Source organism: Homo sapiens, chromosome 9 (genome assembly GCF_000001405.40).
Source record: "Homo sapiens chromosome 9, GRCh38.p14 Primary Assembly".
NCBI classification, from domain to species: Eukaryota; Metazoa; Chordata; class Mammalia; order Primates; family Hominidae; genus Homo; species Homo sapiens.
In genome coordinates this window covers 4,705,003-4,729,112 of record NC_000009.12, presented here as the reverse complement: position 1 = coordinate 4,729,112, position 24,110 = coordinate 4,705,003, and the positions used below count along the sequence as shown (strand labels likewise).

Genomic DNA, 24,110 nt, shown 5'->3' with positions numbered 1-24,110 from the left:
CTTGAACCCGGGAGGCAGAGGTTGCAGTGAGCCAAGATTGCGCCATTGCACTCCAGCCTGGGCAACAAGAGCAAAATTCCGTCTCAAAAAAAAAAAATATATATATATATATATGTGTGTGTGTGTATATATATGTAGGTATATATATGTATGTGTATATATATGTATGTATATATGTATGTATATATTTATATGTATGTATATATATAAGTATGTGTATATATATGTATGTGTGTGTGTGTGTGTATATATATATATATATATATATATATATATATATGTAGAGACATGGTCTTGCTGTGTTGCCCAGGCTGGTCTTGAACTCCTGGCCTCAAGTGAAACTCCTTCCTTGGCCTCCCAAAGTGCTGGGATTGCAGGTGTGAATCACCACACAGGGCTTGGTAACTGTGTTCAACCTTTAAAAAAACTACCACACTGTTTTACAAATTGGCTACACCATTTTATAATGCTACCAGCAATATATGAGGGTTACAGTTTCTCCACATTCTTACCAACACTTGTTTTTATTTATTTTTTTGTTTGAGACACAGTTTCACTCTGTTGCCCAGGCTGGAGTGCAGTGGCAGCTATTCAGGTCACTGAAACCTCCGCCTCCCAGGTTCAAGCACTTCTCCTGCCTCAGCCTCCCAGGTAGCTGGGACTACAGGCATGCACCACCACACCCAGCTAATTTTTGTATTACTAGTAGAGACAGGGTTTCACCATTTTGGTCAGGCTGGTCTCGAACTCCTGACCTCAAGTGATGCGCCTGCCTCGGCCTCCCAAAGTGCCGGGATTACAGGCATGAGCCATTGTGCCTGGCCTAACACTTGTTTTTAAAGGCATATGTTGTTTTATTGTGCTTCACAGGTACTGTATCTTTTTTTACAAATCTAAGTTTTGTGGCAACTCTGTGTCAAGCAAGGCTATTGGCCCCATTTTCCCAACAAGTACGCACTTCCCATTTCTATTTTACATTTTTAGTAACTTTTGCAATATTTAAAATATTTTCATTATTATTATATCTGTTAAAGTGATCTGTGATCAGTGATCTTTGATGTTACTATTATAATTGTTTTGGGGTGCCATGAACTATACCCATATAAGATGGCAAACTTAATTGATAAATGTTATGTGTGTTCTGACTGTTCCACTAACCAGCCATTCCCTTGTCTCTCTCTCCTCGAGCTTCCCTATTCCCTGAGACACAACAATATTGAAATTAGGCCAACTAATAACCCTACAGTGGCCTCTAAGTGTTCAAGTTAAAGGAAGAGAGTGGCACATCTCTCACTTTAAATCAAAAGCTAGAAATGATTAAGCTTAGTGAGGAAGGCATGCTGAAAACCAAGACAGGCTGAAACCAGGCTTCTTGCACCAGTTAGCCAAGTTGTAAGTGCAAAGGAAGACCTTGAAGGAAATTAAAAGTGCTGCTCCAGTAAACACTGGAGCACAAGAAAGCAAAACAACCTTGTTGTTGATATGGAGAAAGCTTGAGTGGTCTAGAAAGAAGATCAGACCAGCCACATCATCCATTAAGCCAAAGCCCAGTCCAGAGCAAGGCCCTAATTCTCTTCATTTCAGTGAAGGCTGAGAGATGTGTTGAAGCTGCAGAATAAAAATTTGAAGCTAGCAGAGGTTGGTTCATGAGGTTTAAGGAAAGAAGCCGTCTCTATAACAGGAAAGTGCAAGTGCTGATGTAGAAGCTGCAGCAAGGTATCCAGAAAATCTAGCTAAGATCATTGATGAAGGTGTCTACACTAACAGATTTTCAATGTAAACGAAACAGCCTTCTATTGGAAAAAGATGCCATCTAGGACTTCCATTGCTGGAGAAGAGAAGTCAATGCTTGACTTCAAAGCTTCAAAGGACAGGCTGACTCTCTTGCTAGGGACTAATGCAGCTGGTGACTTTAAGTTGAAGCCAATGCTCATTTACCATTCCAAAAATCCGAGGGTCTTGAGAATTATCTAAATCTACCCTGCCTGTGCTCTGTAAATGGAATGACAAAGCCTGGATGACAGCACATCGGTTTATAGCATGGTTTACTGACTATTTGAAGCCCACTGTTGAGAACTATTGTTGAGAGAAAAAGATTCGTTTGAAAGTATTACTGCTCATTGACAATGCACCTGGTCACCCAAAAGCTCTGCTGGAGATGTACACGGAAATTCATGTTGTTTTCATGCCTGCTGACACAACATCCATTCTGTAGCCCACGCATCAAGGAGTAATTTCAACTCTCAAGTTTTGTTATTTAAAAAACACATTTCATAAGGTTCAGCTGCTATATAGATAGTGATTCCTCTGATGGATTTGGGCAAAGTAAATAGAAAAACTTAGGGAAAGGATGCGCCATTCTAGATGCCAGGAAGAACACTCATGATTCAGGAAGAAGGTCAAAGTGTCAACATTAACAGGAGTTTGGAAGAAGTTGATTCCAACCCTCATGGATGACTTTAAGGGGTTCAAGCCTTCAGTGTAGGAAGTAACTACACATATGGTGGAAATAGCAAGAGAACTAGAATTAGAAGTGCAGCCTGAAGATGTAACTGGATTGCTGCAATCTCATAAAACTTGAATGGATGAGGAGTTGCTTTTAATGAATGAGCAAAGAACGTGGTTTCTTGAGGTAGAATCTAGTCCTGGTGAAGATGCTGTGAGCATTATTCAACTGGCAACGAGGGATTTAGAATATGACTTAAACTTAGTTGAAAAAGGAGCAGCGGGTCTGAGAGGATAGACTACAGTTTTGAAAGAAGTTCTACTGTGGATAAAATACTATCACACAACACTGCATGCTACAGAGAAGTTTTTGGTGAAAAGAAGAGTCAGTTGATGAGACAGACTTTACTGTTGTCTTATTTTATGCAATTGCACAGCCACCTCATCATTTAGCAACCTCCATCCTGATCAGTCAGCAGCCATCAGCCATGGAGGCAAGACCCTCCATCAGCAAAAAGATTAAGACTCTCTGAAGGCTCAGATGATCATTAACATTTTTTAGCAATAAAACTATTTTAAATTAAGGTAGGTACATTGTTATTTTAGACATAATGCTATTGCACTTAATAGACTACAATGTAATGTAAATATATAACTTTTATATGCACCGAGAAACCAAAAAATTTGTGTGACTCACATATTCACTTTATTGTGGTAGTCTGGAACCAAACCCACAATATCTCCAGGGTAGGCCTGTATGTGTCTTTTTGACTATAACCATGTTCGTGAATGTGAAGTAGTATCTCCTTGTGGTTTTCATTTGACTTCCCTAATGATTAAGGACGTTGATCATGTGTTCATGGGCTTATTGGCCATTTGTATATCGTTGAAGAAATGTGTATTCAGATCCTATGCCCGTTTAACATTTTTTTAAAATTGAGTTGTAAGAGTTCTTTAGATATTCTAGATACAAATTCCTTACCAGCTACATGATTTGCAAAATTTTTCTTCCATCCCATGCTATGCATTGTCTTTTCACTTCTTTTCTTTTCGTTTCTTTTTTAAGAGATGGGGTTTCACCATGTTGGCCAGGCTGGTCTCGAACTCCTGACCTCAGGTGATCTGCCCACCTCAGCCTCCCAAAGTGCTGGGATTACAGGCAGGAGCCACTGCACCCGGCCTCACTTTCTTAATGATGTTCTTTGAAGCACAAAAAGTTTTTAATTTTAATGAAGTCTAATGTATCTATTTTTTTCCTTTGTTAGTTGTGCTCTTGGTTTTTTATCTAGAAACCATTGCCTAATGCATAGTGATGAAGATTTATACCTGTGTTTTCTATTAAGAGTTTTTAGGCTGGACGCAGTGGCTCACACCTGTAATCCCAGCACTTTGGGAGGCCGAGGCGGGCAGATCACGAGGTCAGGATTTCGAGCCTGGCCAACATGGTGAAACCCTGTCTCTACTAAAAATACAAAAATTAGCTGGGCATGGTGGTGGGCACCTGTAATCCCAGCTACTTGGGAGGCTGAGGCAGGAGAATCACTTGAACCTGGGAGGGGGGAGGTTGCAGTGAGCCAAGATTACATCATTGCACTTTAGCCTGGGTGACAAGAGTGAGACTCCATCTCAAAAAAAAAAAAAAAAAAGAGTTTAGTAGCTTTAGCACTTACATTTAGGTTTATGACCTATATTGAGTTAATTTTTATGCATGGTAGAGGTCTAACTTCATTCCTTTTCATCTGGATATTTATTTGTCCCAGGAGCATTTGTTAAAAAGACTACTTTTTCTTCATTCATTTATTTTGGCATCCTATTAAAAATCAGTTTACTATAAATTTGAAAGGTTATTTCTGGACTTTCAATTCTATGATTTTTTTTTTTTTCTTTTTGAAACAGGGTCTCACTCCGTTGCCCAGGCGGGAGTGCAGTAGCATGATCATGGCTCACTGTAGCCTTGACCTCTTGGGCTCAAGCAATCTTCCCACCTCAGTCTCCTGAGTAGCTGAGACTACAGCCATGAGCCACCACACCCAGCTAATTTTTTAATCTTTTGTAGAGATGGGGTCTCACCATGTTGCCTAAGCTGGTCTCAAACCGTTGGCTTTAGACATAGTTTTACTTCTTTTTTTCTGGATGCTTTCTATTTCTTTTTCTGGACTAATTGCCTTGGCTAGAATCTCTAATATTGTATAGAAGTGGCAAGGGCAGACAATCTTTTCTTACAGCTATTCATATACTGATAAAATTAAGTACTTTATTAATTAACCCCATCTTCTAACCCATCTGCTGCAGCTGGTTCGGATTTAGAAGAGGGCTTGGCCTGAAGAGTGAGAGGTGAGGGGAGAGGCCAATAACAGGTGTTTTTGGGACTTGGCCCTAGAGAATTGCGTGTTTTTACATTTTTTTTTCCAAATGCTGTTGATGAGGTTGAAGCTGTCCCTCCCCAGAGCAGTAGTCAAAAGCCTGTAGACAGAGAAGTTCACACATTAAGTATAAGGCTGTTTTAGTGAGTCCTGAGCTCTCCATCTGCCAAGCCCTCTTCTAAGTGCAGTCTGCAAATCCAGCAGCACACGTGCCACATGACAGCCCGTGTCCATGCAGTTACTGTTCTTGGTTAAAAATCTGAAGTTTCATGAATCTGACAATTTAGAATCTGTTCTTGGTTAAAAATCTAAAGTTTCATGAATCTGACAATTTAGAATCTGTTTTGGGGTCAGTATGGCAATTCATACCAACAGTTAGGAAAATGTTCATATATACCTTGACCCTTTAATCTGACATCTGGGAATTTATTTATTGGAAATAATCCCAAAGAGGAGTAAAATAAAAGCAAAAGAACAAGAGTCTTTGGTGATGAGGAAAAATCAAGACTAATTTACACAATTTAAATGTCCAGCAGTACTGCTGTCATAAAGTGTAGTTTTATATATTTATTTCGAAATATCTTATATTTGGAGTGTAATATGGTTACCTAAAATGACTATATAAAACCACCGAAAAGTATTTATTAAATAATGCTAAGTGACAAAAAGAACATAAAATTGTAGATACGCAGATTATGATGGAATTACGGTTCTGAAGGTGTAGAAATAGTTTGGTAAGGGAACATGAAGAAATTAAAATACTATTGCATAAGAGTGACATATAGTTGTAGGTAATATTATTAAATTGTTCATAAATCATTTTCCAGAGTGTTTTGTTAATAAAAATATAACATAATCACAATACTAATCTGGTTAAAAACTGAATTGTGTCACGATAGCAGCACCTGTTTTACAGGATTGGAAAAGTCTCTCCAATAACATGATAGCAGGCATTTAAACTGAATCATTTCAAAATAATGATGATTTCAGATTCTTATTTTTAAAGAAAATAATTTCAGCTATTTCATAATTTTTTCTGGTAGAAAATACAGAAAAGTACATATATATTTTCAAAACCACTCAATTCTATCACACAGAAATAACTACTGTTAACATATTGGTCTATACCTTTACAATATTTTTTCTGTCTATATATTTACATTTATATATTTTTCCATAATGAAGAATCTGAAGTTTAGATTATTTTGTAACCTTTGTTTTTGTTTTTGTTTTTGAGACGGAGTCTCACTCTGTTGCCCAGGCTGAAGTGCAATGGCACGATCTCGGCTCACTGCAACCTCTGCCTCCTGGGTTCAAGCGATTCCCCCGTCTCCCACCTGGGTTCAAGCTACCCCCAAGTAGCTGGGATTACAGGCACCCGCCATCATGTCCGGCTAATTTTTTTATTTCTGTAGAGACTGGGTTTCACCATGTTGGCCGGGCTAGTCTTGAACTCCTGTCCTCAGGTGATCTACCCGCCTGGGCCTCCCAAAGTGCTGGGGTTACAGGTATGAACCACTGTTCCCGGCCATAACCTTTGTTTTTATCAGAAAAGTTGATGATGCACATTTTCAGATGAGTATGCCATTCAGACTTCCCCTTTAGGCAACTCGTTCCGAGGTGCCTGGAATGGGATAAAACAAATGCACTTACTGATTTTTTTCCCCGCTTTGCTGTAGAAATTGGCGTGTTAGCCAAGGCTTTCATTGACCAAGGGAAACTCATCCCAGATGATGTCATGACTCGGCTGGCCCTTCATGAGCTGAAAAATCTCACCCAGTATAGCTGGCTGTTGGATGGTAAGTGGAGTCTCATGAGCATTTCACCTGCCCAAAATAATCAGTGCTGGCAGGAGAATGAGCATTTCATGGGCTTCAGACAGACGTCAAGGATGGTGGTTTGGGGAGAGGGGTGCTTGGGACTATCCTGAAACCAGTCATCTTCTCTGGGACCAGTTCTATATCCAAATGGAAAGAGGGAAGTGAAGTGCATGATTTCTAAGCTCCCTTCAGATGTAACTTTAGTTCCTTTCCCCTTTCTTTGAGAATATTTTGTGATATGGGAGGATCACCACAGAAGAAGCAAGACCCAAGAGTAATTTACAATAAGCTGTAAACTTTCCCTAGCCAGGAGTATGGCCGAATCCTTGAGGGTAGGTTGATTTTTAGTTTTGTTAATATAGAGAGGACACAAAAGAGATTTGTTTCAGTTGAGTCCTCAGCTCTCACTAAAACTGGGATAAACTTGGGATAAGCCTTTTCTTCAAGAAGATCTGAGTCATAATATCCTTTTTTGGAAGAGGATAGCTAATCTAGTCTTCTCTCCTACTCAACCCCATTCACCCACCTTCGCACACAGGCACGCGTGCACTCAGTGTTGCCCTTGCCAAGCCCTGCAGCCCTGACTTGCTTGCTTTATCTAAGAAGGTTCTGAAGTCTTGTCCTTGTGGAAAGTACATTCTAGTAGAAGACAAGTAGTAAACAAGTAAACAAAAACTTGGATAAGCACAGATATAAGTGCTAAGAGGTAAATTAGAAGTTGATGTGGGCCAGAGGCAGTGGCTCACGCCTTTAATTCCAGCACTTTGGGAGGCCAAGGTGGGCGGATCACCTGAGGTCAGGAGTTCAAGACCAGCCTGGCCAACATGGTGAAACTCCATCTCTACTAAAAATACAAAAATTAGCCGGGCGTGATGGCGCACACCTGTAACCCTAGCTACTCGGGAGGCTGAGACAGGGGAATTGCTTGAACTGGGAGGCAGAGGCTGCGGTGAACCGAGATTGCCCCACTGCACTCCAGCCTGGGTGACAGAGTGAGATTCTGTCTCAGAAAAAAAAAAGAAGTTGATGTGAACAGAGAGTAATGTAGTTGAGGAGTAGGCACTTTTTTTTTTTTTTTAATGGAGACAGTGTCTGGCTCTGTTGCCCAGGCTGGAGTGTGATGGTGCGATCTCCTCTCACTGCAACCTCTTCCTCCTCAGTTCAAGTGATTCTCCTGCCTCAGCCTCCTGAGTAGCTGGGATTACAGGTGCCCACCAGCACACGTGGCTAATTTTTGTATTTTTAGTAGAGATAGGGTTTCACTATGTTGGCCAGACTGGTCTCAAACTCCTGGCCTCAAGTGATCTGCCCACCTCAGCCTCCAAAAGTGCTGGGATTGCAAGTATGAGCCATCGCACCTGGCATCTTCTCCTTTTTAAAACAAAATATGTTGCATGGTTCAGAATTCAAAATTTTGTTTTAAAAAGTTTAATGAAAAGTCTTGCTTCTTTATGAGGTGTAAGGGGCTGAAAAACATTCCCATTTGTGGGAGGTCTTGAGGAATGAGTAGGATTACATGGGTGGAGAGACAGGTTATCTTTGGCAGCAGGAACAAGGTAAACCAAGGTAGGCTGGTGATGCTGCCCAGGAAAGGGCCATTATTTCTCCCGAATCCAGGTTTCCTGGGTATAGTTTTAGTCGTTATCATTGTCATTTTAGCACATTGTAAGGTCTAGATCACTGGCAAATTTTTCCACATTTCATTGTTAACAAGAAAATGTAATTTTTCAGATGATATTTTTGCTCTAACAAATTATGCATGTGCGGTTTTAACCTTTGTCACTTTTTTTTTTTTGGAGACAGTGTCTTGCTCTGTCACCAGGCTGCAGTGCAATGGAGTCATCATGGCTTATTGCAGCCTTGACCTCCTGAGCTCAGGCAATCCTCCTGCCTCAGCCTCCTGAGTAGCTGGGACCATAGGCATGCACCACCACGCCCTGCTAATTTTGTTGTCGTTGTTATTTATAGAGAAGGGGTCTTGCTATGTTGCCCAGGCTGGTCTCAAACTCCTGGGCTCAAGCAGTCCTCCCGCCTCAGCCTCTCAAAGTGCTGAGATTACAGGTGTGAGCCACCATGTGTGGCCTAACTTTTGTCATTTTTGAAAATATATTATTTCTACTAATTTTAATTTTTTTCTGGTATTCTGGACAAAATGTCCTTAGTAACAACATTGCAAAGTCAGAAGTTTGTGATCAAAGTATTATTTTAAATTCCCTAATATACTTGGGTGTATTTCTGAATTCACTCATTAGGTACATTTGCCTGTCTCTCTGTTTTTGAACCACATTGTTTAGCTATATAACACATCTCTTTGTCTGTTAGGGTTTTATCCTTTTGCATTAATAGTTTTCCTTTAGCTGGACTTTAGTTTCATTTTGTCATATTTCAGAAATAGCCTCTGGAGTGTTTGTTTGTTTGTTTTTGAGGAGTCTTGCTCTGTCACCCAGGCTGGAGTGCACTGGTGTAGAATTTTGGTTCACTACAACCTCCCCTCCCGGGTTCAAGCGATTCTCCCACCTCGCCTCCCAACTAGCTGGGATTACAGGGACCTGCCATCATGCCAGGCTAATTTTTGTATTTTTGTAGAGATGGGATTTCACCATGTTGGCTAGGCTGGTCTTGAACTCCTGAGCTCAGGTGATCCGCCCTCCTCAGCCTCCCAAAATGCTGGGATTACAGGTGTGAGCCACTGCGCCCGGCCAGTCCCTGGATTTGGGTGAAGATCATGAGTTCAGTTTGAGTTTAAAGGCGGGAAAAGTCCTGTGTCCCAGTTAGAGGTAGCAGGCAGGAGGAATTCTTTGTTATTTGGGTGAGGGTCAGCCTTTTGTTCTACTCAGGCCTTAAAATTGATTAGATAAGGCCCACCCATATTAAGAAGGGCAATGTACTTTATCAGTCTGCCTATTTACATGATAATTTCATAACAAAAGCAGCCTGACAGATATACCCAGCATAATATTTGCCAAATATCTGGGCACTCATGCCCCAGTCAAGTTGACAGGTAACCATCACAGTTGCACCGCAGCTGTGATCGGCCTGCCTGGTGAGCCTCATTCCTTTTGTTCAGATTGTCCAACATTAATTCTTTCTTTTTCTTTCTTCTTTCTCCACCCGCCCCACCCCCACCCCATACTTCCTTTCTTTTTTCTTCTTCTTTTTCTTTTTTACTTTATAAAGGTTTTCCAAGGACACTTCCACAGGCAGAAGCCCTAGATAGAGCTTATCAGATCGACACAGTGATTAACCTGAATGTGCCCTTTGAGGTCATTAAACAACGCCTTACTGCTCGCTGGATTCATCCCGCCAGTGGCCGAGTCTATAACATTGAATTCAACCCTCCCAAAACTGTGGTGAGTAGTTGTTGTGGAACTGTCACATAGCAGACTGTCCCTGAGTCCTCTTGCCCTAACAGACATAAGTTGAGTGAACTTGGAAATCCTCTGACCAAAACTCCTGAGGGTATATTCTCAGGTTACTTGGTAGAGTTGACTGATCAAGTCCACTGAGCTTGGTGCGAAAGGTTGCCCCAGGAGCAGCAGGGGTTTGTTACTCATTCAAAAACATTTGTTGATTTCCTGCTCTGCCAAGGAGTGTGTTAGGAGTTGCGCTGATAGAGATTCATAACACCTTGGTTTATTTAGGACTTGCAGTTGAAATTCCAAGTTTATAGCTGAATCTTTTTGAATATATATGAACTTACTTAGAGGCTGCTTAGAAAACCTTTTACTCTAAGGCTAAAGTGACTGATAACTGTAGAAATGAAACTGGCGTACCCTGTTTCTGTTGCGATGATCTCTTTTGAGGTTGGATTCCATTTTTTTAAAAGTTAGCACATTTTTGTGCTTGGCACTTGCACAGAGATGTCTGTTTAAAAATAATTGAACTGCTTATGAAAATATCTTTCAGAAATATGATATCTGATACTAGTCTCTTCTAATCCTGTTTAGGGCATTGATGACCTGACTGGGGAGCCTCTCATTCAGCGTGAGGATGATAAACCAGAGACGGTTATCAAGAGACTAAAGGCTTATGAAGACCAAACAAAGCCAGTCCTGGAATATTACCAGTGAGTTTTTGCTTTTCAGAACTTCTCTTGCGTAGTGGTGCACTAAGTCTAGTTTTGATTTTCCTTCCTCTACAGCTGAAATGCTAAAATGCCAAAAGACCCAGTTCACATGGGCTTAAGTAATAAAGGAAATACATTAGCTTGTGTAACAGAAGTCCAGAAGGTAGGTTGGGCTTCAGTCACACCTGGGTTTGATCAGTGTAGCCGTTCTCTTGGTTTTGCCTTCCTGTGTGTGTATTGGCTTTGTCCTTAGGCTTCCTGCATGGTAGCAGACATTTGTAGGAACAGCCAGGGCTTCCTCTTCTATGAAGGGCTGAGGGGTAACCTTTCCTCCAGTGAATAGAAGCCCAGAGCACCACTCGGATGGAGCCAACTTGAACTACAGTCAGGGAATGCCTGGCACTAACTGTTACAGGCTTGGGTTACTGCCTACTGCAGAACCAGTCATTGGGGTGGGAAGGATTCCACTGATTACACTGACTAGTCCACTTCTAGAGTTGGCAGTGCGACAGTCTCATCCATACTCTGCTATGTGCAGATGTTCCGCAATTTACAATGAAATTACATCCTAATAAATCCATTGTAATTTGAAAATACCAAGCACCATAACTTAGCCTGCCTTAAACATGCTCAGAACACTTAGATTAGCCTACAGTTGGGCGAAATCATCTAACACAAAGCCTGTTTTGTAATAAAGTGTTGAATATCTCACATAATTTACTGAATATTGTACTGAAATTGAAAAGCAGGATGGTTGTACAGGTGCTCGAGGTACAATTTCTATTGAATGCATGTTGCTTTCGCACCATCATAAAGCTGAAAAATCCTGCATTGAATAATTGTAAGCTGGGGATTGTCGGTAGGGGAGGCAGGGCTGGAATGAATGCTGGGGAGGCAAACTTAATATTGCCCACCACATTTGCCAATACAGGATGCTATGGTGTGGAAGAATCTCAGATGGCAGCTAATCCCTCAGACTATGTAATTGGCTAGCAGTCTTTAAAAGCTTACATTTTAACATTGTTTTGTCTGCTCTTGTTTTGTCTGCAACACGTATAGGAACCGTACTGAATGAGTATTTGACTTAGGCTAAGAAATACTCCAGTTTTCTTACTGAGCCTTCCTGCTTCTTACAGAGGATTGACTGCCTCCCCTTTCATTTATGTACTTATTGAATACTGATCCTGATCAGGGCAGAACAGTATCTTGGGCAGAACACAGACTCTGGAGCCAGAATACCTAAGTTCAAGTCCCAGCTCACCATCTTCACCTTCACCTTCTGCTTAACCTCTGCCTGTTTTTTCCTCTGTAAATTGGGGAAGAGAATAAAGGTTTGAAAGATTAATATGGGTAACTCTTAGAACTGGGCCTGACGCATAGAAAGCACTATAGAAATGTTAGCTATTGTTATTGTTGTTGTAATAGCGTATGTATGCAGTAGAAATCTGAAGCAATAGTTTCCAAACTGTTATTTATTTATTTATTTTAGAGACAGGGTCTCACTCTGTCACCCAGGTTGGAGTGCAGTGGTTCTTTCATAGTTCACTACAGCCTTGAATTCCTGGGCTCAAGCAATTCTCCTGTCTCAGCCTCCCAAGTAGCCAGGACTATAGGCCCGTGCCACCAGACCTGGCCAATTAAAAAAATTTTTTTTAGAGCTGGGGCTCTTGCCATGTTGCACGGGCTACTCAAACTCCTGGCTTCAGGCAACCCTCCTGCCTCGGCCTCCCAAAACATTGGGATTACAGGTACGAGCCACCATGCCTGGCCTTTCAAACCATCTTAATTTTTTCTGGAGCATAAAATTACAAGGTTGGCAAACCATTTTTTGTAGTAGCTGTTACTATAATTTTGTCATTTGTTTAATGAGGCTGGTTCTGAAAATTACCGTCTCTTTTGCCCTAGGCAAGCTATTTAACCTCCATGCCACAAATCCCTTATTTGTAAAATCAGGCAATATTAAATAGCATCTGCTTTATAGGGTTGTTAAAAGAATTAAGTGAGAGATCCTGGAAAGTCCTACAACAGCCCTGGTGTCTATTAAATCATTCATTGTCAGCAATTATTGTTCACTCTCTTGACACTGTGCTAGGCCCTTGGTCCACATGGACAATTAGATCCAGTCCCTGTCAGGCTCCAAGAAGCTATGTTTGTGGGTGAGGTGGGGAGCTGGGTAAACAGTATTTATCATACAATATGATATGTGCTTATATTAACTAAGAACCTAATTCACACCAGGTTAAGCAAAAGGGGAATTTATTGGTAATGTAACTGAAAAGTCAAAGATAGATGGATGGGTCCAGGTGTTCAAAAACACCTATCATCAGGCGTCAGTCACTCCGCTCCATTGTCCTGTGCTGGCTTCAGTCTCAGGTGTGCCCTCCCTGTGTAGCAGCCCCTCAGCTTTCCAGTTTACCTCCTACCAGCCAGAAACCCCAGCAGCAAAGAGCCTCTTTTGCCAGCAAAAGTCTTGGGGTCGGCACCGATTAGCTCTGATCATGTCCATCCTTGAAGATGGGGAGTGGGGACAGTCTCTCCTGAACCTCGTCGACTGAGTTTGGTGGAGAGGTTATTTCCCAAAGGTAACCAGAGGAAGGGAGAATGCATTGTTGCTGGGCAGATAACACCACCACTGCAAGGCTATGAATGATAATCCCCCAAAGCAGTGAAGTACCAGGGGTTGTTGGGATTCGTTCTGTCAAAATATCAAAATATGGGAAGGGGCCTGGGACAGTGGCTCATGCCTGTAATCCCAGCACTTTGGGAGGCTAAGGCAGGAGGATCGAAAAGGCAGGAATTCAAGATCAGCCTGGGCAACATGGTGAAACTCTGTCTCTACAAAACATAAAAAAAAATATTAGCCAGGCATGGTGGCACATGCCTATAGTCCCAGCTACTGGGGAGTCTGAGGTAAGAAGATTGCTTGGACCCAGTGGGTCAAGACTGCAGTGATCTATGATTGCTCCACTGCAGTCTAGAGCGCGGGTGTCAGAGTGAGACCCTGTCTTAAAAAAAAAAAAAAAAAAAGTAGTAAGGGAAGTTAAGGAAAGCTGCGAAGATGAAGTGAAAGACACGGGCCCCTGTCTTAGGAGATATTTTAGAAGTCTTTCTAGGCTCCTTCTGGCTTTTGCTGCCTTTTGCTGTTAATTCAAGCTTTTCTTTTCTTTTTCTTTCCTTCTTTCTTTTTTTTTTTTTTTTTTTTGAGACGGAGTCTCACTCTCTCTCAGGTTGGAGTGCAGTGGTGCCATCCCAGCTCACTGCAGCCTCCTCATCCCAGGTTCAAGCGATTCTTATGCCTCAGCCTCCCCAGTAGCTAGGACTACAGGCACGTGCCACCATGTCCTGCTAATTTTTGTATTTTTAGTAGAGACGGGGTTTCGCCATGTTGGCCAGGCTGGTCTTGAACTCCTGACCTCAAGTGATCCACCCTCCTTGGCCTCCCAAAGTGCTGGGATTACAGACTTGAGCCACCACACCCGGCCGAATTCAGTCTTTTCATTCTCAGCTCCCACACGTAGAACTCAGCGAGACTTGACTAAAAACTGAAAGTTTATTTGCAAGAATGTTAGTAATAGTCAGCATTGTTATTTAGAAATGCTGACAGTTGTATTGTTGGTTGTTTTAAAAAAAACCTTTTAGCTGTGGGACATTATAGAGTAACTGGTCTATGTTTACAAACAACATGATGCCCTTACTCTTTGGAGGACCAATTGTTGAAGCTGGTTCCATTTTATTACACAGAAATTAAAATGACAAATGTTCACCCACGATTTAGGATCGAATAGGTGCCTGCAATTGTGCCCTCAGTAATTAACCCACTTGTGACACTGGCTTGATTTTTAAATCGGCTCTTCAAGAGGCTTACAACAGTTAAGAAGCTTGTTCCCTTGAAAGCAGTACCAGGTGCCAGTGAATTTAGAAGCAGGAGGGTTTCTAATATCCCAAGAATGCTGTATTTGCATAATTTCCTTCCTTAGCAGATGTTTCTTACCGAGAAAACAGTGGGTGTTATTTAAGTTAACTGTGGCAAATTTTATGAGGTATCAAGGGAAGAATGCTTTTGTCCTTAGTGAAAGCCCTGAAAACCTCGGAAGAAGGGCCACACAGGTATAAGGAATCCTCTTTTCACAAAGTCATAAACCAGAGTTCTTAGGTTGTCCTTATGCAGTCTTTACACCAGTGTGTATGTGTGGAGGCGAATGTGTGGAGGTGTATATGTGGAGGTGTGTGTATGTGGAGGCGTATGTGTGGAGGTGTGTGTATGTGGAGGTGTGTATATGTGTAGGTGTGTATATGTGGAGGTGTGTATATGTGTAGGTGTGTATATGTGTAGGTGTGTATATGTGTAGGTGTGTATATGTGTAGGTGTATATGTGTAGATGTATATGTGTAGCTGTATATGTGTAGGTGTATATGTGTAGGCGTATATGTGTAGGTGTGTAAATGTGGAGGTGTGTATATGTGTAGGCGTGTATATGTGGAGGTGTGTATATGTGGAGGTGTATATGTGTAGGCGTAGGTGTACGCATGGGCTAGAGGACGGGTATTAGCAAGAGGAAGGCCAGAATCTTTGGAGGGAATCTGTGTGGCTTGAAAAGCACCCCCAGGATTCTGATCTCACTCTTCACCATGTTATCCACAGGAAACTGGAGTAAATAAAATAGACTTTGGCTGCTGGTCTAGTGACAAGCTAGACAAATCTGCCTGGGAAGAAATGAAGACAGTCAATAGGAAACCCAATAAAACCAACACTTTTTATTCCCCTTTCTGTTAATATTCAGAAGAGTGGAATAGAGGAGAACATAAATGTTGGCCTGGGCAAAAAGGAAAGATACTCAAGTATTAGAAAGTAGCTTTTGCAAAAGAGTAAGTAGAAAAAAAAGGCTGATGGGTGTTCTGGTATCTTATAGGTCCTGTTTGGAAATGTACTACCAACTTGGTGATTTGGGCTAAGTTACATTACAAAGGGATGATTTTATTAGTAAAATAAGAAAATTTGAGCTTTGGAAAGGATTAAACAAACTATAATATGTAAAGCATGTAGCACAGCCTTTGACACACAGTGCATGTTCAATAAATAAAATAAATGATAGGTGCTGTTATTTTTTTAAGCACCCATTTTTGTAAGCCAGAGAGCACAACTGAAACCAAAATGTACATTTTCCAATGCCCAGCCAAGTGCCTTTCTCTCCTGATTACACAAATCTATACTTACCAAGACTCCTATATCTACAATATCATTATTTACAGAAAGGCTTTGAAAGAGCTTATTAGGAAGACTCAGACCTGTGTGTGTTTGTTTTGTTTTTGTTTCATCTTTAGGAAAAAAGGGGTGCTGGAAACATTCTCCGGAACAGAAACCAACAAGATTTGGCCCTATGTATATGCTTTCCTACAAACTAAAGTTCCACAAAGAAGCCAGAAAGCTTCAGTTACTCCATGAGGAGAAATGTGTGTAACTATTAATAGTAAGATGGGCAAACCTCCTAGTCCTTGCATTTAGAAGCTGCTTTTCCTAAGACTTCTAGTATGTATGAATTCTTTGAAAATTATATTACTTTTATTTCTACTGATTTTATTTTGGATACTAAGGATGTGCCAAATGATTCGGATACTAAGATGCATCGTTTGAAATCATCTAGTGTGTTGTATGCAGTTATCCTCAAAAACATCAGCGATGTCTGAACCTTTAAAACATCTGTTAGAGCAAAATTAAAAGAGCATTTGGTAGTAATCTAACTTTTTGTTCAGTTAATAAGTGGTTGATAAAGTTTCCATATTTTTCTGGAAAAGTTAAAAAAAGTTACATGTCATTTGGAGAAAATACGTAATCAGAAATTTGTGCATAGATTGATGCCAAAAAAGACATTTCCAGCATTGTGGAACATGGTGAGACACTATATAAAATTCCAGAAAGAAAGCAACTGGATTTACAGATTTATTGTGAGACACAAATTCACTGCTGCCTTTACACTAAGAAATGTATATGTTAACCATATATGCTGTATTTATTTTGTCGTTAAGCATACTTTCAGTTTACTCAGAATTTTCAATTTGCTATAAAGATGTATCAATTAGCATATAGAAAAATATTACTTTAAGATGACTTGTTTCCTTTGAAAATACCTGTGTACTGAGGGTTATGATTTGTGTCAAAAATTGACATAAGTGCTTTTACAAGCACCAAAGTTGAATGAATTTTCAACAAAATGTAATTAAAGTCTATGTTTTCAGTTATGACTCAGGTTAAGAAATGTGTTTTAGGATCTACTTGCTGGTTTTTCTTTTTGATCCAAATGTGTGATCTGCCCTGATAAATAACAAGTTATAGTACCATCTCCCCCGCCAATAAAAAAGAGAAGAAAAAAGAGAAACCCGTGGCACTATGTAAATAAAGTAAGCATACTTTGTTGTTAGTAAATAGATGAGGCATGCCTGGGAAATGCTCCCTTGGCATAAATAGCAATCAATCATAATTAGTAAACAGGTGTACCAATAAAAAGAATTTACATGATAGGTTAACAAGGACCAGGAAAGTGAGTTTCCTGAAGGAGTTCTTTGTTCCTGATCAAAGAAATTGATACCTGTTAGCATTCACTGCCACCATATTTTAAGGAGAAAGAACTCTATTGGTGTCGTCTGAGCAGCCATTTAAAAATTGGAATCTAAAGGATGGTTGCTGATGTACTGTGTGGTCTGGTAGAAGTGGGGAAATATGAGAGATGGAGGAAAAACTTGATTATGTCTTCCATGGCATATTTACTCTTACTTTACTTCGTGCCAAATCAAATGAAACAAGCCGTCTTACAAGTCGTTATTGCCTTTAAAAATCTGTTCCGTTTTTTTCCCAGGTACTTAAAATACAAGTGCCAGTAAGTGGTTCTTATGTGTTTTGGGGGGAAAATTTTATTTCCCTTTTCTTCTGATATTTAAAAAATTCATCGATCTTTCAAGATGAACCAAGGTTTTTTAAAAGAAATATAGGAAACACTTCATTCTTTATAAAACTTTCTATAATGCCTTATTTGAATGTTAATCTTATGTGCTTTCTAAAAAATGTTGTGAAATACCAAACTTATGGATTATCACTAGGTTATCAAGCATATATTAGTCTTTATCAGAATAAAATGAAATTTCATAACTGTGGCTATTACTTTGTTCTTGGTCCTTCACAGGGCCTGCTCCATCCCACCTTCCTTTCTGCTGCCTGATGTCTCAATGGCTTCTGAATGACTGTTCTAATAAATGATCTTAAAACAGTCCATAGGCTGGTTTCAGTTTATGCAATACTTCATCTCCTGCTATGGTAGCCATACCGGCCTTCATAATACCCTTAGGGGATTTGGAAATCAAAGTGAGCAGTGGAAGAACATGGCTATGAGAATTAAGACTCTTATTTCCTGTGACCATTCCCTCCCCACCCGCAAACACTTAGCCCAAAGTTTTGCACATACATTCATTACTTTAGGAATGAATATGACTGTAATACAACTTTTTTCTTTATTTTTTTTTAGACAGGGCCTCACTCTGTTGCCCAGACTAGAGTGCAGTGGCATAATTGGGTCACTGTAACGTTGAACTCCTGGGCTCACGCAATTCTTCTACCTCAGCCTCCCAAGTAGCTGAAACTACAGGTATGTACCACCATGCCTGGCTAATTTTATTTTTTTGTAGAGACGGCGTCTCGATATGTTGCCCAGGCTAGTCTCCTGGCCTCAAACAGTCTTCCTGATTCAGCTTCCCAAGTGCTGAGATTACAGGTGTAAGCCACTGCCCCCACCCAAAAAAATAATTCTGTAATGACCATCATTAAGATTTATGTACCACATGGAAATACATGTATGGAGCTGAATGCCATGGCTAGGAGAAACTACTATACTTTTGTTAAAAGCCAATGAGAGGCCGGGCGCGGTGGCTCACGCCTGTAATCCCAGCACTTTGGGAGGCCGAGGCGGGCGGATCACGAGGTCAGGAGATCGAGACCATCCTGGCTAACACGGTGAAACCCCGTCTCTACTAAAAATACAAAAAAAAAAAAAAAAAATTAGCCGGGCATGGTGGCGGGCGCCTGTAGTCCCAGCTACTCGGGAGGTTGAGGCAGGAGAATGGTGTGAATCCGGGAGGCGGAGGTTGCAGTGAGCTGAGATCGTGCCACTGCACTCCAGCCTGGGCGACAGAGGGAGACTCCGTCTCAAAAAAAAAAGCCAGGGAGAACAGCACCTCAACTGATTTATTTTATAGAGTAAAAGTTATTTTGCTATACCTTTTGTAAGCAGCGTGTACTGTGGGAAATGCAAACTAGCAGTTGTTAGCACCATCCAGAAATTTCTGTCAGTTCCATTTCAAATAGTTTAAATACTGGCTCAAATCTCTAAACCCCACCCTATGGCTACTTTTCCCCCAGCTATATATAATGGCATTCTAGCAAGATATTTTGGATCCTCATAACTTGTGACAAAACTGCCCTATACTAACAACAAATCATTGTAATTATAGATCTCAAATTATGTTAAATTGCTATAGTTGCAACCAACAGCAAGAATTTGTATTTTAGAATATGTTGTGTCTTCTCATTGACCAAAAAATAAAAATAAAAATAAAAATAAATCCTCAGGCCCTGATAAACTGTAGAAATAGCTTTTCTATCTTTGCAGTTAAAGATTTTCATCTTGGAAGTTATGGTTAAAAAATTTTTAAACAGTTAAAATAGTGTAGCTGTGCTTAAAGCTTCTGGTAAAAGCCAGTATGCTTTGTAGAGCCCTTATCCCCCTCCTGCTTTTTATTTGTTTTTAGCTCACTAAATAATATAAACACTGATTTTTCCATATATAGCACTGAATAAACTGTCATGCCTAAGTGTAAATCAGTCCAGCACTGTGTCATCTTTTTCTAAAGCATTCCAAGTTAAATGTCTGATGTGTAAATAACATGAAGAATCATGCTGTTAACTGTGTGAAAGATGTGGGAATTTTAATAATCATTTTCTATATTTAGAGATCAAACAAGTCTAATTCTTCAAAGCTTATGAGAATGGTTTCACTTCATATTAGATGGTGAACAATCCATAATGAACTTATATTCACCCTGTGTCCCCCTCCCGACCCCCTTGGCTCACATAGTGAGCAAATAATTTTCAGATAAATCAACTTCTCAGAACTATGCAATTGTATATACATGTCCATTACAGATGAGAGATGGATGGATTTAAGGGTTTTGTTAAAAGTATGTTTGCTATAATGGCAAAATTGAAATGGAAAGCCCATGAAATGGAAAGCCCAACCTCAACCCAGACAAGTACCTCGGTTCTGTCCCACACCAATTTAAGAACTGAAATACATGATTGACTTAGAAAAGTAAACTGACATTTCGTTCTCCTCTGAAAATACCCAAAGGTTAACTTCAGGATCACCTTGCCTAAACCTACAGTCAACTTTTTTCATCCTGTTAGAAAATCCACTTACTAAAACAGATTCATGTTCTTTGGGCAGCATGTTCATTTTCATTTTTAGATGTTGCCAGGCTGGAGTGCAGTGGCGCCATCTTGGCTCACTGCAACCTCTGCCTCCCGGGGTTCAAGCGATTCTCCTGCCTCAGCCTCCTGAGTAACTGGGACTACAGCCACGCGCCACCATGCCCAGCTAATTTTTGTATTTTGGGTAGAGACAGGGTTTCACCATGTTGGCCAGGATGGTCTCGATCTCCTGACCTCAGGATCCACCCGCCTCGGCCTCCCAAAGTGCCGGGATTACAGGCGTAAGCTACTGCGCCCGGCTGTTCATTCATTTTTAAAAGGGTAATAATATGATATGCCAGTCTGAAAGAAGAGGAGGACCTGATTTTCCTAAAGAGAAGTTATAAGAGATTGTGAGCTCATTAGGCAAAATTTGAAAGAGCTCACTAATGGTATAATTGGAAGAGAATGTTACCCATCTACCTAAGAGTAATAATTTTAAGGCAGTATTATCTTCACTACCACTGAAAAAATGACACTGAGTTAACAGAGAATAAATGGACAGCTATTTGATTTAAAAATTTTTTTATTCAAATATTAATTTTATCAAATGAAACAAGAATCTTTGATGATACTTTGATGTAAAAAAATGTTTCATTCATGTGTTTGCACTTTCCATGGTTTAATTTGTTTAGGGTAAATTGTCCAACCTGAAATATAAATTATCCCTTTGCTTAATATACTCTTTATTTCTTCAGAAACAAAAAAAAGGTAGGAATTAGTTCAAGGATGTCAATTTACTGTTTCTAGTACTAAAGTACGGCTAACTATGTAATTTATAGCCTTTAAGTGCAAATTATGGCATCAGTCAGTGGTTCCCACAACAGACCCAATCACACTTTCATACTCAAAACACAGTATATTCTTTTGCAAGTAAAAATATATAAATCAAGTTTCAAAGAACATCTTTTCAGTGCCCCTCAAGAATAGTTTACTCAGTTTGTTGATACTTTCTCTCCTGCCAGTCTTCAGTCATTAAATACCTCTAACTTAGAGAAGGCAAAATGAAATTCAAAACAATTTGAATGCTTACAGGCAAATCCTGGGAAAGAAGGGAAAATAATAATTCAAGTAACATTTCTGTGAAACTAGGAATATGGCTCCTGTGTCTGCCCATTCTCTCAATTTGGTAGAAAGGGAAAAATAAGAGCTTGCTTCAGAACAGAACAAAAAGAAAAAAATGTCTACGACTAGGTCATGGGTTTAAAAAAAAAAAAAGTACAGGCTGACAAACACTACTATATAAATTAGTCAAACATTTTATTATAGAGTATATATTTATATCAAAAGCACAAAAACGTTTATTCTGAAAACCAGGAAGATTGTGATGTTACAGAAGAAGATTCAATAATTCCAGTCCATTTCTAGGGTACTAAGTGTCTGATCACCTCAGCGAAAACAAGATACAAATGAGGCCAAGGTCACAGGTCTGGCCACCCTGAGTCCCTTCGCACTATTTGGTTTCTCAAGTTGAGACACGTATTCCCAGTCCCAGTTAGCCACCTTCCAAGTGTTTGCTACTAGCCTTAATGGGTACTTAGCCAAAGACTACACCCAAATATAACCAAAGCTTATGTTAAGTCATAAGATTAATCCTTCAATAATAAGGATAGCATAATTGGCTTTGTTACCTAATTCTACATAAACAAAATCATCAAATATCCTGGCATAACTGAAATGACTTACAGAGGAAGTAGTAAAGCTTGGAAGTATTCTATGGTAACTGAGCTGAAAAAGGGGAAATGCCAAATGTTGTAAATGCCATCATTACCAATAAGAGTCACCAAATTCTCAGAAATAGGTAATTGGCAGCTCAAGGCAGTTAGCACTACAAGATTTCTCTTGCCTTTAAAAAAAAAATCATTTTTAAGACTCCTTTTTTAAAAGGCTACATCAAAAAATAAACCAAAATAACAAAAATTAAAAGGCAACATGAGTAAAATAACTACAAATTTAAAAATCAGATTATTATTCCTGTTTGTTCTTACAAGCCATTAGTATTCTTTTAAAACTTACTCCCTGAGAGATCCCAGACTATGTTAAGAAAGAGTGAGCTTGAAGTTATTCTTATTTAAAAAGAAAATCTATATTAGCTCATCACATTTGATATTATTATAACTCTTAAAGTCAGCAGGGTAAAATCAAATTCTAAGGAATATAGTTTTGAGAATAATTTGAGGGTAAATGTAATGTATATATCAAATTTGTATTATAGTCAAGGATTTAACTGATGGTGCCGAAAGTCAAGTATTTAAGAGTTAAGACTTTTAAAAATTGTACCCCCCAACTTATTTAGTAAAGTACATTACCAACTACTGATTTATTGCTTTTAATGTGATGAAACACCAAATTTGACAGCTAAAGTAGCAGTGGGATACAAGTATGTTTTTATCTTTAATCATTTTTGTAGAATAGGACATGTACATATCCATATAAAAAGAGACTGTAGCAGATGCCTCCCAGAATCAACCAGTTCTTGTAAACATTGCATTTGTGCAGATTTTCATACTTGATTCCAAAATTGAGAACAATAAGATTAAAAGCAAATTTAGTAGCCACAAAAAGTCCAGTTTGACTTCCTGCAACATATGGTACCACTCTTCTCTTCAGAACAAAACAAAACAAAAAACCTAGCAGCACATTAAAAAAAATTTACAAAACATTTCAGTACTCTTTCCCTCCCATCAAAAACCGAACAAAAATAAAGTGCAGCACCCATAAAAGTGTCAAGAAAATAGCCAAGTTCTTCCTTTCTTGTAACAAAATAGCACTTGGCCTCAGCAGTCTTAACCAAATTATACAGTGTCCATCATTTTGGGTTCATCATCTTCTTTATGTACCACCGAGTTTAAGCTGCAGAGAGCTGTACTGATAGAATACTGAAGATAATCTGGATTCTGGGGAAAAAGAAAAGGTAGATTGGGGGGAGAAAAAGAACGCATTATAACCAGTTTTATGACAGTACATACATATATATTCAGTTTCACCGTCCTATTTCTCTGCAGTGTAGTAGAGCAGTAGGAAAGAAGATGGACTTTGGAGACAGACTTGGGCTGAATCCCAAGAAAATAAAGAAAAAAATAGGATGCTATCACCTATGAGATGTGATAAAAGAATGATACATGTAAAAAACAGAAATGTTAACAAATACCACCTTTCTTCTCTGTTTAATCATACAAGGCAAGGCTACAACCTCCATGTGATTATATATACATAGCTACTGATAATTTAAATATGGTTTGAAGTTAGCAATGCATTTTTAAGATTACCATCTAATTACAACAGTAAATACTAAAACTGCAAATCATCTAAATAAAGAAAAAATTTACTGGGTAAAAATTATGGATATCTTCAGGGTCTATTGTGGTTTCCCAAAGGTTAAAACAAACTCAGTGAGAAATCTGTACACTTTTGAGATGTATTTACACCCTTATTTTTTAAACTGAGAATAAAACAACAGGATTTGTTAAACAAGCATAAACTCATAAATGTTATGCTTGTCAATTTCAAAAACTGGGAATAGAAAACATAAAATCTTACTCAATAAATGCAAAAATAAAACCATTATTAAAGCACCATGAATAAGGGTATAGCCCTTAAGACCCAGAACTTTAGAAAATTCTTCCCCAATTCAATTTTGTCTACTCAATTGTTCCGAATATCTGCTAGTTACTTAAGACTTTTACCACTTGTATTACTAGTTTTACTTATATTTATTTTATTTAATAAACACCAGTGAGGACAGTAGTCAAACAGGATAGATGTCTTAAACCTCACCATCCAATAGGAGGTTGGGAGGCAGGGTTTTCTAAAGATCCTCCTAAGAAAGTACAACACTTTGTGAGATTCCTTTATTCTAAAAGTCAAAAAGCTAGCTGGAGTTCGGATTATTCCCAATCAGGTCT

The 24,110-nt window shown here is 39.4% G+C and overlaps 2 protein-coding genes and 1 long non-coding RNA gene across 7 annotated transcripts in view; 2 read left to right on the top strand and 1 right to left on the bottom strand.

The window, feature by feature from the left end:
* The window catches only part of AK3 (adenylate kinase 3), a 32,488-nt gene extending 12,931 nt beyond the window's left edge, over positions 1 to 19,557 (top strand). For 3 of the 5 annotated variants that reach the window (NM_001199853.2, NM_001199855.2, NM_016282.4), the window contains exons 2-5: positions 6,488 to 6,607; positions 9,806 to 9,978; positions 10,576 to 10,694; positions 16,017 to 19,557. In NM_001199853.2, coding sequence (NP_001186782.1) covers positions 6,547 to 6,607; positions 9,806 to 9,978; positions 10,576 to 10,694; positions 16,017 to 16,137 — 474 coding nt within the window. In that variant the 5' untranslated portion in view covers positions 6,488 to 6,546 and the 3' untranslated portion in view covers positions 16,138 to 19,557. Of the gene's footprint in view, positions 1 to 2,885; positions 3,031 to 6,487; positions 6,608 to 9,805; positions 9,979 to 10,575; positions 10,695 to 16,016 lie in introns of those variants that run through there. The other 2 variants (NM_001199856.2, NM_001199852.2) reach the window with 2 other exon arrangements.
* Positions 10,701 to 12,039, top strand: LOC124902112 (uncharacterized). The gene is made up of 2 exons (XR_007061401.1): positions 10,701 to 10,857; positions 11,831 to 12,039. It is a non-coding gene; the product is annotated as an uncharacterized LOC124902112 (long non-coding RNA).
* The window catches only part of CDC37L1 (cell division cycle 37 like 1, HSP90 cochaperone), a 28,831-nt gene continuing 25,434 nt past the window's right edge, over positions 20,714 to 24,110 (bottom strand). Inside the window, exon 7 of the mRNA NM_017913.4 lies at positions 20,714 to 23,102. Within this exon, the coding sequence (NP_060383.2) occupies positions 23,001 to 23,102 (102 nt within the window). The 3' untranslated portion in view covers positions 20,714 to 23,000. The remainder of the gene's footprint in view (positions 23,103 to 24,110) is intronic.